The sequence below is a fragment of the Homo sapiens genome, chromosome 11 (genome assembly GCF_000001405.40).
Source record: "Homo sapiens chromosome 11, GRCh38.p14 Primary Assembly".
Lineage (NCBI taxonomy): Eukaryota > Metazoa > Chordata > Mammalia > Primates > Hominidae > Homo > Homo sapiens.
In genome coordinates, this window is record NC_000011.10 from 32747805 (window position 1) to 32765438 (window position 17634).

The following is a 17634-nucleotide window of genomic DNA, read 5'->3' on the forward strand; positions in this document are numbered from 1 at the left end:
AAAGTGCAGTATTTGCACAGGAGTGTACTGTTCCTCCAGGTACAGTCACATCTTCCCTTGGCTAGGAAAGGAAAATCCCCTGACCTCTTGCGCTTCCTGGGTGAGGCGACACCCCGCTCTGCTTCAGCTCGCCCTCCACGGGCTGCACCCACTGTCCAACCAGTCCCAACGAGATAAACCAGGTATCTCAGTTGGAAATGCAGAAATCACCCATCTTCTGCATCAGTCTCCCTGGGAGCTGTAGACCGAAGCTGTTCCTATTCAGCCATCTTGGAAGCGACCCATCCTACATGTTCTTATTGGAGAATTTAGTCCATTTACATTCAATGTTATTATTGATAAGTGAGGACTATCTCTCATCATTTTGTTATTTTTTTTTTCTGGTTGTTTTGTGGTTTTCCTTTTTTCTTCCTTCCTGTCTTTCTTTCAATGAAGGTGATTTTTCTCTGGTGGTATTTTTTAATTCCTTGCTTTTTATTTTTGTGCATCTCTTGTATGGTTTTCAATTTGAGGTTACCATTAGGCTTGCAAATACTATCTTTAACCCATTATTTTAAAGTGATAACAAATTAATACTGATTGCATAAACAAACAAGCTAATTACCAAACAAGCAAAAGAAAACTTATAAAAACTCAATAATTTAACTTTGTCTCCTCACTTTTTACATTTTTGTTGTTTCCATTCATATCTTATTATACTGTCTATGTCTTGAAAAGCTGTTGTAGTTATTATTTTTAATTGGTTCATCTTTTCATCTTTCTACTTAAGATATAAGTAGTTTACACATCACACTTACAGTGTTATAATATTCTGTGTTTTTCTGTGTACCTACTATTACCAGTGAGTTTTACCTTCAGATGATTTCTTATCACTGATTAACATCCTTTTCTTTTGGACTGAAGACTTCTCTTTAGCATTTCTTGTAGGACAGGTCTGGTGTTAATGAAATCCCTCAGCTTTTATTTATCTGGGTAAGTCTTTATTTCTCCTTCATGTTTGAAGGATATTTTCACTGTACATACTATTCTAGGGTAAAACCTTTTTTCCTTCAGCACCATAAATATGTCCTGGCCTGTAAGGTTTCCACTGAAAAGTCTGCTGCCAGATGTATTGGAGCTCCATGTATGTTATTTGTTTCTTTTATCTTGATGCTTTTAGGAATCTTTCTTTATCCTTGACCTTTGGGAGTGTGATTATTAAATGCCTCAAGGTAGTCTTCTTTGGGTTACATCTGCATGGTTTTCTATAACCTTCTTGTATTTGAATATTGATATTTTTCTAAAGATTTGGGAAGTTCTCTGTTATTATCCCATTGAATAAACTTTCTACTCCTCTCTCTCTCTACGTCCTCTTTAAGGCCAAAAACACTTAGATTTGCCCTTTTGAGGCTATTTTCTCGATTTTGTATGTGTGTTTCTTTTTTCTCTGACTGTATATTTTCAAACAGCCTGTCTTCAAGCTCACTAATTCTTTCTTCTGCTTGATCAATTCTGCTATTATGAGACTCTGATGCATTCTTCAGTATGTCAATTGCATTTTTCAATTCCAGAATTTCTGCTTGACTCTTTTTTAATTATTTCAATCTCTTTATTAAATTTATTTGGCAGAATTCTAAATTCTTCTGTGTTATCCTGAATTTCTTTGAGCTTCCTCAAAACAGCTATTTTGACTTCTCTGAAAGTTCACATGTCTCTCTTTCTCTGGGACTGGTCCCTGTTGCCTTATTAGTTTGTTTGGTGAGGTATGTTTTTCTGGATGGTCTTGATGCTTGTGAGTGTTCGTCAGTGTCTGGGCATTGAAGAGTGGGGTATTTTTTGTAGTCTTCACAGTCTGGCCTTTTTGTACCCATCCTTCTTGGGAAGGCTTTCCAGGTATTTGAAGGGACCTGAGTGTTGTGATCTAAGTTTTTTGTCACTGCAGCCGCATCTGCACTAGGGGGCACCACAAGCCCAATAACGATGTAGTTCTTGTAGACTCAGAAGTATTGCCTTGGTGGTCTTGGATAAGATCCAGAAGAATTATCTGAATTACCAAGCAGGGACTCATTCTCTCCTCTTACTTTTTTTTTTTTCTTTTTTTTTTTGAGACGGAGTCTTGCTCTGTCGCCCAGGCTGGAGTGCAATGGCACAATCTTGGCTCACCACAACCTCCACCTCCCGGGTTCAAGCCATTCTCCTGCCTCAGCCTCCCAAGTAGCTGGGATTACAGGCACCGACCACTACGCCCGGCTAATTTTTTGTATTTTTAGTAGAGACGGGGTTTCACTGTGTTGGCCAGCCTGGTCTCAAACTCCTGACCTCGTGATCCGCCTGCCTCAGCCTCCCAAAATGCTGGGATTACAGGCGTGAGCCAACGCTCCTGGCCTCTACTCTCACTTTCTACCAAATAAATGGATTATCTCTCTGTGCTGAGCTTCCTGGAGTTGGGGGACAGGTGACACAAGCACCCCTGTGACGACCACCACTGGGACTGCACTGGGTCAGACCTGAACCCAGTACAGCACTGGGTCTTACCCAAGGCCTGCTATAGCCACTACCTGACTACCACCAGTGTGCACTCAAGGCCTTAGCGATCTACAATCACCAGGTGGCAAAGCCAGGCAGTCTTGTATCCTTCTTTTCAGGGAAGTGACTGTCCCTGAGCTCTAGGCAGGTCCATGCCATCCAGGAGCCAGGGCCCAGAGTCAAAAACCTAAGAAATCCACCTGGTGCTCTATTCCACTGTGGCTAAGCTGGCACCAAAACCACAAGACAAGGTTCTTCCCGTTCTTCCCTCAACTTTCCCAAAGCAGAGGAATCTCTCCCCATGGCCACCACCACCACAGCCAACAGGGAGTATTGACAGGGTACCACTGATGTTCACTTAAGGCCCAAGTCCAGGCCAGGACACACCCTTCAGGACAGTGGGCTCCCCTCTGGCCCAGGGTAGGTCCAGAGATGCTGTCCATGAGCCAATGCCTGGAATTGGGAACCCCTAGAGCCCACTTGGTGCTCTTCCCCACTGTAGCCAAGCTGGTACCTAAGCTGCAAGAAAAGTTCCCTTTATTCTTCCCCCTCCTTTTCTCAAGTGGAAGGGGTCTCTCCTCATAGCCACCATAGCTGTGAATATGCTGGATCACACCTGAAGCCAGCATGTCTGAGTCTCACCCAAGGCCCACAGCATGTACTACCTGGTTATTGCTGCCGATTATTCAAGGCCCAAGCGCTCTTAAGTTAGCAGGTAGTGAATCCTGCCAGAACTGAATCCTTCCCTTCAAGGCAGCAGGTTTCCTGTCTAATCCAGGATGTGTCTAGAAATGTTGTCTGGGAGTTAGGGCCTGGAATGGGAGCCTGATAACTCTGCCCAGTGCCCTATCCTACTGTGGCAAAGCTGGTATCCAAGTTGCAAAACAAAATCCTCTTACCTCTTCCCTCTCCTCTCTTCAAGCAGGAAGGAGTCTCTTTGGGAGCTGTACACTGCACTGCCTGGGGTTGAAGAGGGGTGGCATAAGCACTCCCTTTGCCACCCCGACTGGTGTGTCACTGGGTCGCATGCTCTCTCCAATGGCTCCGAGACCAGTCCAAGTCCACTGGCTCTGAGACCAGTACAGCACTAGGACTTGCCTAGGAAGTGTAGTCCTTGTGGCCTAGATTGGTGTTATTTGGAAACCCCCCAGCGGCAAGGCTTGCTGAAACTCAAGTTCAAACCACTGGGATGGGTCATTCGCCTCTGGCTAGGGCTAGCCTGAATGCACCCGCCATAGACACCGGCTGGGTTCCGCCTGGTGTTGGCAGCACTGAGTTCCCACAATTGCTGCACTCTCCTTGAACCGCACAGATTGTTTTTCCACATCATGTGGCCACTGCAGGGGCTGGGGGAGGGGTGGAGTTGGAGATTCAAGACTGTCTTTCCAACTCCCTTCAGTGCCTCTTTCAGCAATATGAAGTTAAAACCAGGTACTGTGATCACTTCATTTTTGGTCTGTATGAAGGTGCTTTTTTGTGTAGTTGTCAAATTTGGTGTTCCTGCAGGAAGGACAATTGGTAGAATCTTCTATTTGGCCATCTTGCCCCCACCCTCAAAACTTAGTAATTTAAAACAATATTTTATTAGGTCTCACAATTCTGTACAATGATCCGGCTTAGCAAGACAGGTCTGCTTCACATGCTATGGATAAGGTCATTCATGCAGAAGCATTTATATGGTAGCTTGGCTAGGGCTGAAATGACAGTGACTTCCGCTCACACTCCAGTGTCTTTCCCCATGTAGCTTCTCATAATTAAATAATCTATTTTGAACTTTATGACATAGCTCTGGCTTCCAAGAGGATCTGTTCTAAGAGAAAAAGCCCCAGTGTGAGAGTACTTACCAAGCCTCTGCTTAGTAACATGCTTGCTAATATTTCGTTGGCCAAGAAAGTCACATGACCTGGGCTAAGTTAATGTGGGAGTGCTCTACTCAAGGACATGAAATATGGTTCATTGGGAGCCACAAATATAACAGCATCATTTATTTACTGCCTGTTCACAGATATTTAGACTGTTTATAATTTTTCCCATTACAACAGTATAGTAAATATCACTGTAGCAAAATATTTGCCCAAGTAAGCTCAAACAAAAAATTATCCTAGATAAAAATATAAACTGTTCAGACTTAATGATCGTGAAATTTTAAATTCCAGTTTAAACAGATAAAACTGAATTTCTATCCATTATCTATATTAATTTACATCAAAAAGGAAAAAATACAGTCGTACTCATTCCTGAAAACTCCAGCCAATGCTGGAAATCATCAATCTAAGTATGTTTCCAATCTGGGAATCAAAAACTGATTATCTCATTTTTGTTTTAATCTGCATTTATTTTATTAGTAGTAAAGTTAAGCATATTTTTGTACATTTTATGATTACTTGTATTTCTTCATCCTGTTCATTTTTCTGTTGGGTTGTTTTGATTTGGAATATTTTGTAAATAAGATATTGATTTTTTTATTGTTTTGCATGTTGCAAATATTTTCTCTGCATCACTTTTTTTTTAAGAGACAAAGTCTTGCTTGTCATCCATGCTGGACTGCAGTGGTACAATCACAGCTCACTGTAACCCCGAACTGCTGGGATTAAGTGATCCTCCTGCCTCAGCCTCCTGCCCAGGTAGCTAGGACTATGGGCACATGCCATCATGTCCAACTAATTAAAAATTTTTCTTGTAGATAAAGGGTCTCATTATATTGCCCAGGCTGGCCTCCAACTCCTGGCCTCAAGTGATTGATCCTCCCACCTCAGCCTCCCAAAGCACTGGAATTACAGGTATGAGCCACTGTGCCTGGCCAGTCACTTTTTTTTAACTTTATGATGGCTATTATCCCGTAAGAGCTAAGAATCTAGTCATCATATCCAGCCATCTTTTCCTTTATGAAGGATAATCTCTATGCCCAAGAATATAAGAATTGTTTCTTATGTTTTCTAGTATTTGTAGAGTGTTTTTCTTTGCATTTAGTTTTTCTTTTCTGCTTTTTTTTTTTTTTTTCTTTTTGAGACAAGCTCTTGCCGTGTCACCCAGGCTGCAGTGCAGTGACACAAACACAGCTCACTGCAGCCTTGACCTTCTGGCAAGTGATCCTCCTACCTCAGCCTTCCAAGTAGCTGGGACTACAGGCATGCATCACCACACCCAGCTAAAATTTTGTTTTCTTTTTTTTTGAGACAGAGTCTCACTCTTTAGCCCAGGCTGGAGTGCAGTGACATGATCTTGGCTTACTGCAACCTCCACCTCCTGGGTTCAAGTGATTCTTCTGCCTCAGCCTCCCGAGTAGCTGGGATTACAAGCACCCATCACCATGCCCAGCTAATTTTTTGTATTTTTAATAGAGATGGGGCTTCACCATGTTGGCCAGGCTGGTCTCGAACTCCTGACCTCAAGTGATTAGCCCACCTCAGCCTCCCAAAGTGCTAGGATTACAGGTGTGAGCCACCATGCCTGGGTCCCAAATAAAATTTCTTAAGATTTTTTGTTGAGATGGGGTCACATCATGTTGCCCAGGTTGTTTTCAAACTTCTGGCTTCAAGTGATCCTCCCACCTCGGCCTACCAAAGTGCTAGGATTACAGGTGTGAGGCACCACACCCAGCCCTGGGTTTTATTTTTGTGTATAAGGTATGTATGAATGCTCCTAATACCACTTACTGACTATTGTTCTTTTCACCCATTGAATTGACTTGTCTTTTTAATGATTTATTTATTCCTGCAACTATGTCACATTTTAAATTATTACAGCATTTCAACATGGTTTAATATCTGCTAGAGCAAGTAGAACTTCATTCTTCTCTTTTGAAAATGTTATTGGCTATTCTCATGCATTTTTCTTAAATATATAACTTTAGAATCATCCTACCAAGCTCTAAAAACCACTGCATTAGGTTTTGATTAGCACTGTATTAAATTTGGGGATCCTTTGAAGGAAACTCTAGAAATGAAAAAGGTAATCATTGAAATTAAAAACTCTAAGCAAGGTTAGATAGCAGGTAAAAACATCTGAAGAGACAATTAGAAAACAACAAAATGAATTACACAGAACTCAGTACAGAGAGGCAAATAGGAAGAAATATAAGAGAGTTAAGAGTCAGAAAGGATAGAATGACATGGGCCAATATGCTGTCTATTTGGGGTTCAAGAAAAAGATAATAGAGAAAATAAGGGGCAATACTCAAAAAAACCACAGCTGAAGTTTTTCATAACATTCAGGCATCAAAATGAATCTCTAAAAATATAGATAAATCCACACATAGACACATTAAAAATAAAGATCATCAATGACAAACAGATCTTAAGAGCAAATAGAAATGATGGATTACCTAGAGGAAAAATTCAATTGACAGAAAACTTCTAAATAGCAGCAAAAGAACTCAACAAAATCTCTTTAAAATACTGACAGAACACAAATGTAATCTACAATTTCATGGCAAAATAAAGACATTTTTCTGGAAAAAGAAAAAGGAAAGGCTAAAAGAGTTTACCATTAACAGACTTTTTAGCATTGAATTCCAGGAATGTCAATTAGCTGGACCAGTTTCCAGAGTACACAGAAGATGGCTTCAACTTTTTTTTTTTTTTTTTTTTTTTTTCTGAGACAGAATCTTGCTCTGTCACCCAGGCTGGAGTACAATGGCACGATCTTGGCTCACTGCAACCTCTGTCTCCCGGATTCAAGCGATTCTCCTGCCTCAACCTCCCACGTAGCTGGGATTACAGGCATCCATCACCATGCCCAGCTAATTTTTGTATTTTTAGTAGAGACAGGGTTTCACCATGTTGGCCAGGCTGGCCTCGATCTCCTGACCTCGTGATCCACCCACCTCAGCCTCCCAAAGTGCTGGGATTACAGGTGTGAGCCACCGCACCCAGTCAGCTTCGACATTTTTTATCAGGATAAAAGCTTAGGAAAATAATTAAGACCTTAAATTATCCTTTCAGAGGCCAGGCATGGTGGCTCACCCGTGTAATCCCAGCACTTTGGGAGGCTGAGGTGGGTGGATCACGAGGTCAGGAGATCGAGGCCAGCCTGGCCAACATGGTGAAACCCTGTCTCTACCAAAAATACAAAAATTAGCAGGGCGTGGTGGTGCATGCCTGTAATCCCAGCTACTCAGGAGGCTGAGGCAGGAGAATCGCTTGAACCCAGGAGGCGGAGGTTGCAGTGAGCTGAGATCGTGCCACTGCACTCCAGCCTGGGTGACAAAGCAAGACTCCATCTCAAAATATATATATATATATATATATATATGTACATATATATCCATATATATGTGTGTATATATATATCCATATATATGTGTGTGTATATATATATCTCCATATATATGTGTATATATATATCTCCATATATATGTGTATATATATATCTCCATATATATGTGTATATATATATCTCCATATATATGTGTATATATATATCTCCATATATATGTGTATATATATATATCTCCATATATATGTGTATATATATATATCTCCATATATGTGTATATATATATCTCCATATATATGTGTGTGTATATATCTCCATATATATGTGTGTGTATATATCTCCATATATATATCTGTGTATATATCTCCATATATATCTATATATATCTCCATATATATATCTATATATATATCTCCATATATATATCTATATATATATCTCCATATATATATCTATATATATATCTCCATATATATATCTATATATATATCTCCATATATATATCTATATATATATCTCCATATATATATCTATATATATATCTCCATATATATATCTATATATATATCTCCATATATATATCTATATATATATCTCCATATATATATCTATATATATATCTCCATATATATATCTATATATATATCTCCATATATATATCTATATATATATCTCCATATATATATCTATATATATATCTCCATATATATATCTATATATATATCTCCATATATATATCTATATATATATCTCCATATATATATCTATATATATATCTCCATATATATATCTATATATATATCTCCATATATATATCTATATATATATCTCCATATATATATCTATATATATATCTCCATATATATATCTATATATATATCTCCATATATATATCTATATATATATCTCCATATATATCTATATATATCTCTCTATATATCTCCATATATATCTATATCTATATATATCCTTTTAAAGGTTATTTACAACATCAAGTCCAAGATAATTTATTACAATTGTATATTTTCTGTCTACCATTTGGGAAGATGTAAAGCCTATTTCTATTTATTTAGTCATTACCCTTAAAATTTTAATATTCCTACTTAACTGAAGAATATCTGTAGTTGGTCAGTATCTTTATATCTTCCGAACGATACAAGGACCTAAGAATCAGTCCCATCCAGGCTTAACAGTAACTGTGGTTCAGTGTTTTAATTCCACTTTTTTATCTTCAAAAACTAAATATAATTATTCATTTTTAATTGTATCAATCTTTTTGCACTCTGTTTTAAATGCTAAATAAAAAGATCTCTTCAGAAACTATTAATGAGAAGTATTAAAAATTTGCAATAAAGATTTGGGAGGGCATGAGACAAAATCAGTATCTCATAAGTAGTTCCTGAATAAGATCTGTTCTTGCTTATCACACATGCCTGCAAAATGTCTGGTACAAGAATATGCACAGCAATATGAATAGCAACTGTATTCATAAAAAACAACAACTGAAAATCCCTTAGGTATCCATAACTATGTTAATGAAAACAACAAACTATGGTACATTTATATTATAGATACTATTCAATGATAAAAACGAACTGACTACAAACACACACAACAAGAATAAATCTCAAAAATACTACACTGAGTTAAAAAAAACTTGCACAAAAAAAATACTGAATGATTCCCTTTATATAAAAATCTAGAACAGAGATAAGCTTATCTTTAGTGAAAAAAATTAGAACAGGGGCTGCCTCTGGATGAAAAGGGGTGAAGAATTTTATTCTACATAAATTTTATATTGAAAGAAAAAATAAACAAATATTATTAAAATCCAGTTAATAATATACATACTGAAGCATATAATTTCCAACTTATTTGGAAATGAATCCCAAAAATAAGACCAATGACAGATAGATATACTATGAGATCAAGCATAGAATCTGATTAGTAGGTACATTAGGTTACTATTACTACTGTAACAAATAACAACAAACTTAGTGGCTTAAAACAACTCAAATTTATTCTGTTGCAGTTCTGGAGGTCAGAAGTCCAAGGTATCTGCAGGGCGGCATACCTTCTACAGTCTCTGGGGGAGAATCCATTTCCTTGCTTCTTCCAGCTTCCACTTACATATGCTCCTTTGTTCATAGCATCTTCCTCCATCTTCAAAGCTAGCAGCATAACATCTTCCAGTCGCTTTCTCTTCGACTATAACCTTTAGTTCCACTATCACATCTCTTTCTCAGACTCTGATTCTCCTGTCTCCCTCTTATATGAATGCTTATGAGTACTCTGGGCCCATTCGAATAATCCAGCATAATCCCTCCATCTCAAAATGCTTAATTTAATCACACCTACAAAATTCCTTTTGCCATATAAGGTAACATATTCACAGGTTCTTGAAATTAGGACATGGACATGCTTGGGTGCCATATTCTGTCTACCACAATGGGTATATGGGTGTTCACTGTAAAGTTCTTTCAAGTATTACGTATGTTTGAAATTTTCCTACTAAAATGTTGAGGGGGAAATCTAGGAATACAGGTCAAGTACCGCCATCAGGGTAAATGGGAAAAACAGTAACAGTCTTTTTCTAATGAAAGTAAGGGATTTTTTCCCCTTTTTAAGAAGAAAGCTCTCTTTTCAATGAGGAATTTGATTGCTAGTATTATATACTTTTACATTTGATTATTAAAAACATTTTCCTCTTCATCCAGGGATGGCATCTAGATGCACTCAAAATGGTCCAGCATTTGACGTATCATCATGGGCTTTCCTACAATACAGCCTCTAACAAAACTAGGCTGTCCCAAACCCCTGGTAATAGAATTGTTTACCTTTATACCAAGAAGGTTAGGAAAGCACCAAAATCTCCACGTGGCATGCCTCCAAGTAGATTTCAAGGAGTTTGTGCTGTGAGACCTAAAGTTCTTATGAGGTTATCTTGAAAAAATGTGTCAGCAGAGCCTATGGTGGTTCCATGTATGCTAATTGTGTCCATGACAGGATCAAACATGCTTTCTTCATCAAGGAGCAGAAAATCCTTGTGAAAGTGTTGAAGGCACAAGCACAGAGTTTGAAAGCTAAATTTTAAAATGAAGCTTTCTTGGGTAATAAAAGAAAAAAAAAACGCTATTCCTTTTCTAATCTGAAATTTTTCAGAAAATTTTTAAAGGAAGCATATTTTTTAAGTTGGAAATATAAACAGACCAAAGTATAAAATTTAAAACATAATAAAACAGAATACTAAGTTTTAAATAGTGACCAAAAGTTGTTTCACTTAGGAAAGATAACATTTTAAGCTAATTTTACAAAAACACTTCTTTATAATACTTACCCAAAATACCATTTTTAGCAGAATTTCATCTTAAAACAGACTTTTATTACAATAATAAGTAGCTTTAAATAGGATGAACACTGTGGTATTTAAATTTTGTTATTGTAACAATAAATTTCAATATTTTAAAATCCTAGAACAATATTTGTATTATTATATAATAAAAATGTTGTTTCAGATCTTTTTCTCTCATTTATAGCTTATTTTCAGAAAGTCAGTAAATTCTATTGATTCTTCTTTCTGCCTCTTCTGTTCTATCTTCATGGTCATATATATGTCCTAGTGAACTCATTTCTATATCCTTATTGCAATAGTTTTATGGTTTTTTTTCTCTCGAGAATCTTCCAAGCTCCAATCTATCCTATATAGAGTTAAAATTTAGACCCATACAAGTCTCAGAAATAAAATGCTTTTTAATGGGATTTGCACAATATAGATAGCCTGCTGAAACCAACATTTTTTCCTTTTTTTTTTTTTTTTTTCTTGAGATAGAGTCTTGCTCCGTCACCCAGGCTGTAGTGCAGTGGCGTGATCTTGGCTCACTGCAACCTCCACCTCCTGGGTTCAAGCAATTCTTATGCCTCAGCCTCCTGAGCAGCTGGGACTACAAGCATGCGCCACCATATCCAGCCAATTTTTTGTATTTTTAGTAGAGACAGGGTTTCACCATGTTGGCCAGGCTGGTCTCGAACTCCTGGCCTCAAGTGATCCACCTGCCTCATCTTTTACAATTTTATACTAGACATATCCTTTAAGAAAAAATCACAGTTATCACTTTTTAAAATAAAGATATTTGATTCTTTCAACCCAGAATATTTACTACATACATTTATTTTGTCACTTAATCATATACTGCCTTGTTTCATTATTTAATCATTTCATAGGCATCTATATAATAACCTTAACAAAAATGTAATCTCCCCAAGAGCGATTATTTTTCATCAGCCATGTGTCTAAAGAGGGTGCTATCTGTGCACTCCCAGGGACTCAATAAATACTAGCTGACTTATCAAGTACTTAATCTGAAAACTCTTCTTTTATTTTGTGCTTTAGTTTCCAAATTCTTATTTCCCATTCCCTGATCATTTACTTAATCTGTCCTATTCTCTTTTACTTCATTAATTGGACTATATATTTTATTTCTAAACAAGAGGGATTTTTTAGGCTTTTTATTCTTTAAAAAACAATAAACTGAACAAAATCAAGTTTTCTTATTTAACAAAAGCATTTTAAAAAGGAGCTTACCCTTCTCATACGCAATTCTTCTAATGCCTCCAGTAAACTTGTTTTGAAATCTAATAGCTGAATAGAAAACAATGTCTCTGAAGAACTTTGAAGAGTAAAAGTAGATGATGACTCAGTATTGAAGTTGCTTTCCATATTAATATTTATTTCCTGTAATGTAAAAAGGTCTTAACTGAAAAAAAATTATCTAGGTTTTTCAAGTAAAAGCATAGTTACCATAAAAATATAACAACCTGTATCCCATAATCCTCCAATTTCAGCACTGAATAACAGTTGTGTCATCACTCCACTCTAATGTTGACCAAAAAAACACTTAGCAAAAATGGTATTATTCTGTTTCCCTATGGTTGAAGCTTTTTCTGGTAGCTGAGTACCCTCAAAGGCTAAATTTTCTTCCCCTAAAGACCCATCTTCTAAAGGCTGGGTTCATGATGTTGCAGGCAAGTTGCTTCATGCCAAAGCTGGGATACACATTCTGCTTCCTAAACTTTGCCTTGACATAAAGCTTCTTTGCAAAGATGATATGAATAGTAACATGCAATCTTTAAACTCAACATAGTTGGAAGACGAAGGCTGGAAAAATTGCCTTTTATTAAAAACCAAGATAGTTAAATATTTTTCTCAACCCAGAAAATGTATGAGTCAGGCTGCAAGAAACTTTTCAACTTTTCAGTATGAAACAATGATCAATTCACAGGTAGTTGCAAAAGAATGTACGGTGAAGTCCTATACACCATTCTCTCAATAACCCCCGCAAATGTTAACATCTTGTATAACAAGAGTACAATATTAAAAATGTGCATCTGACTTTGGTACAATCCACGGAGCTTATTAGCACTTTACCAGTTATACATGTACTTATTTGTGTGCATGTGTCTGTGTGTATATATGCTTTTGGCAAGTTTATCATATTTATAGCTTCATATAACTATGACCTCAATTTAAGATACAGAACTCTAGCATCAATACAAGCTTCTTCAAGCAGCTTCTCTGTGGTCATACCCACTCTCTTCCCCCATCCTTAACTCTGAGAAAATACTAATCTGTTATCTATCTCCGTAATTTTGTTGTTTCAAGAGTGCTCATAAATGGAATCACACATCATGTAACCTATAGCTTTTTTTTTAAGGTTCATCCAGATTGTTACATGTATCAGTAATTCATTCCTTTTTATTGTTTAGTAGTATTTCATGGTATGAATGTATTATTTACTGAACTACTCACCCACTGAATAACATTTTAGTAGTTTCCAGTTTGTGACTATTATGAATAAAGGTGCTATAAACATTTATGTACACATTTCTCTGTGACCATAATTTTTCATTCCTTAGAGATAAACGCCCAAGAGTAAAATTGTTGGGTTGAGTGAATATTGAGTCCATTTTTAGTTGTAAAGGAAACTGCCACATTATTTTCCAGAGTGGCTGTACCATTTTCCATTCCCACTGGCAATGTACAAGTAATACAGTTTCTCCAAATTTCCACCAGCATTTGCTGTTATCACTATTGTTTTTATTTTAGCCATTCTGATAAGTATTATACTAATAAGCATTCTCCAGAGAAACAGAATAGGATGGGTATGTGTGTGTATATATGGGGGGGTGTATGTATATATGTGCAAAAGACTCATATGCACATATATATAGACACAGACCTACACACACACACGCAGAGAGAGAGAGATTTTAGGGAACTGGCTTACACAATTGTGGCGGCTGACAACTCTGAAATCTTTAGGGCTGACCAGCAGGCTAGAGACTCAGGAAAGAGTGGATGTTGTAGCTCAAGTCCAAAAGCAGTCTGGAAGCAAAATTCCCACTTCCTTGGACAACCCTAACCTTTTTCTCTTAAGGCCTTCAACTGATTGGATGAGGCCCACCCACATTATGGAGAGTAATTTGCTTTACTCAAAGTCTGCTGATTTAAATGTTAATCACAGCCATAAAATACCTTCACAACATTATGTAGACTGCTGTTTGACCCAATATCTGGGTACTACAACCTAGCCAAGTTGACACATAAAATTAACAGCAGTGTGCCTGAAAGAAACTTTCTAAAAGGAAAATTTCCATTACTGAAAATGATGAGATATGTTATTTGGACCAATCCTCCTACTAAAAATAACTAAAAATTCTAAATAAAACATTTTAAAATCTTCTCAAAAGCATCAAAGACTGAAAAGATAATAAAAAATTATGGAATCAAATTCTAAATTCTGAAAGAGACCAAGAACCAAGAAGCAGACCAAGCACTAACAGCTATCTTTACCCTGTGGGCATTTGGCAAATGAAGCAAAATTAAACTATAGCTCTTATGGAGTCTGATTTAAAATGTATGGAATTCAAACTTAGGGCTTACCAAAGTCTAATAAGAGACTCACTACATTAAGTAGAATTCAAAAGAGTTAAACTCTCAGGTAAGGCTGAACCAAAAGTAACCCACCTTCTACAGGAGAGGTGCCTTGGTGTCAAGCAAATAAAGCGTAAAGGAAAAGAAAAGGGAGGGAGAGACAAAGAAAGAGAAGAGGAGAAAGATGGCCAAATATGAACAGCTCCAGTCTACAGCTCCCAGCATGAGCGACGCAGAAAACGGGTGATTTCTGCATTTCTAACTGAGGTACTGGGTTCATCTCACTGGGGCATGTCAGACAGTGGGTGCAGCACACCGAGTGAGAGTGGAAGCAGGGTGAGGCATCGCCTTACCCAGGAAGTGCAAGGGGTCAGGGAATTCCCTTTCCTAGCCAAGGGAAGCCATGACACACAGCACCTGGAAAATCGAGTCACTCCCACCCTAATACTGCACTTTTCCAAGGGTCCTAGCAAACGGCACACCAGGAAATTATATCCTGCGCCTGGCTCGGAGGGTCCCACACCCATGGAGCCTCGCTCATTTCTAGCACAGCAGTCTGAGACCTAACTGCAAGGCGGCAGTGAGCCTGAGGAAGGGCGCCCACCATTGCTGAGGCTTCAGTAGGTAAACAAAGCAGCCAGGAAACCCAAACTGGGTGGAGCCCACCGTCGCTCAAGGAGGCCTGCCTGCCTCTGTAGACTCCACCTCTGTGGGCAAGGCATAGCCGAACAAAAGGCAGCAGCAACCTCTGCAGATTTCACTGTTCCTGTCTGACAGCTTTGAAGAGAGTAGTGGTTCTCCTAGCACAGAGTTTGAGATCTGAGAACGGACAGACTGCCTCCTCAAGTGAGTCCCTGACCCCTGAGTAGCCTAACTGGGAGGCCCCCCAGTAGGGGCAGACTGATACCTCACATGGCCGGGTACCCCTCTGAGACAAACCTTCCAGAGGAACGATCAGGCAGCAACATTTGCTGTTCAGCAATATTCGCTGTTCTGCAGCCTCCGCTGCTGATACCCAGGCAAACAGGGTCTGGTGTACCTGAAAGGGTCTTGAGTGGACCTCCAGCAAACTCCAACAGACCTGCAGCTGAGGGTCCTGACTGTTAGAAGGAAAACTAACAAACAGAAAGGACATCCACACCAAAACCCCATCTGTATGTCACCATCATCAAAGACCAAAGGTAGATAAAATCAAAAAGATGGGAAAAAAACAGAGAAGAAAAGCTGAAAATTCTAAAAATCAGAGCACCTCTCCCCCTCCAACGGAACGCAGCTCCTCGCCAGCAAAGGAACAAAGCTGAATGGAGAATGACTTTGACGATTTGAGAGAAGAAGGCTTCAGATGATCAAACTTCTCCAAGCTAAAGGAGGAAGTTCAAACCCATCACAAAGAAGCTAAAAACCTTGAAAAAGATTAGACAAATGGCTAACTAGAATAACCAGTGTAGAGAAGTCCTTAAATGACCTGATGGAGCTGAAAACCATGGCACGAGAACTACATGACGAATGCACAAGCTTCAGCAACGGATTTGAGCAACTGAAACAAAGGGTATCAGTGATTGAAGATCAAATGAATGAAACAAAGCGAGAAGAGAAGTTTATAGAAAAAACAGTAAAAAGAAATGAACAAAGCCTCCAAGAAATATGGGACGATGTGAAAAGACCAAATCTATGTCTGATTGGTGTACCTGAAAGTGACAGGGAGAATGGAACCAAGCTGGAAAACACACTTCAGGATATTATCCAGGAGAACTTCCCCAACCTACCAAGGCAGGCCAACATTCAAATTCAGGAAATACAGAGAACACCACAAAGATACTCCTCGAGAAGAGCAACTCCAAGACACATAATTGTCAGATTCACCAAAGTTGAAATGAAGGAAAAAATGTTAAGGGCAGCCAGAGTAAAACGTCGGGTTACCCACAAAGGGAAGCCCATCAGACTAACAGCAGATCTCTCAGCAGAAACTCCACAAGCCATAAGAGACTGTGGGCCAATATTCAACATTCTTAAAGAAAAGAATTTTCAACCCAGAATTTCATATCCAGCCAAACTATGCTTCATAAATGAAGGAGAAATAAAATACTTTACAGACAAGGAAATGCTGAGAGATTTTGTCACCACCAGGCCTGCCCTACAAAAGCTCCTGAACGAAGCACTAAACATGGAAAGGAACAACCAGTACCAGCCACTGCAAAAACATGCCAAAATGTAAAGACCATCGATGCTAGGAAGAAACTGCGTAAACTAACAAGCAAAATAACCAGCTAACATCATAATGACAGGATCAAATTCACACATAACAATATTAACCTTAAATGTAAATGGGCTAAATGCTCCAATTAAAAGACACAGACTGGCAAGTTGGATAAAGGGTCAAGACCCATCAGTGTGCAGTATTCAGGAGACCCATCTCATGTGCAGAGACACACATAGGCTCAAAATAAAGGGATGGAGGAAGATCTACCAAGCAAATGGAAAACAAAAAAAAGCAGGGGTTGCAATCCTAGTCTCTGATAAAACAGACTTTAAACCAACAAAGATCAGAAGAGACAAAGAAGGCCATTATATAATGGCAAAGGGATCAATTCAACAAGAAGAGCTAACTATCCTAAATATATATGCACCCAATACAGGATCACCCAGATTCATAAAGCAAGTCCTTAGAGTCCTACAAAGAGACTTAGACTCCCACACAATAATAATGGGAGACTTTAACACCCCCACTGTCAACATTAGACAGCTCAATGAGACAGAAAGTTAAAAAGGATATCCAGGAATTGAACTCAGCTCTGCACCAAGTGGACCTAAGAGACATCTACAGAACTCTCCACCCCAAATCGACATAATATACATTCTTCTCAGCACCACATCACACTTATTCCAAAATTGACCACATAGTTGGAAGTTAAGCACTCCTCAGCAAATGTAAAAGAACAAATTATAACAAACTGTCTCTCAAACCACAGTGCAATCAAACT

At 38.3% G+C, this 17634-nt stretch overlaps 1 protein-coding gene and 2 pseudogenes across 4 annotated transcripts in view; 1 reads left to right on the top strand and 2 right to left on the bottom strand.

Moving 5' to 3' along the window:
• Positions 1–17634, bottom strand: part of CCDC73 (coiled-coil domain containing 73) — a 227865-nt gene that overhangs the window by 145084 nt on the left and 65147 nt on the right. For 3 of the 4 annotated variants that reach the window (XM_047427029.1, NM_001008391.4, XM_047427030.1), the window contains one exon: positions 12305–12454. The exons of the other annotated variant lie outside the window; for it this stretch is intronic. In XM_047427029.1, coding sequence (XP_047282985.1) covers positions 12305–12439 — 135 coding nt within the window. In that variant the 5' untranslated portion in view covers positions 12440–12454. The remainder of the gene's footprint in view (positions 1–12304; positions 12455–17634) is intronic. 4 annotated transcript variants of the gene reach the window in all.
• On the bottom strand, positions 10423–10856 carry RPL34P2 (ribosomal protein L34 pseudogene 2; annotated as a pseudogene).
• LOC124902803 (60S ribosomal protein L34-like) lies at positions 10464–10816 on the top strand (annotated as a pseudogene).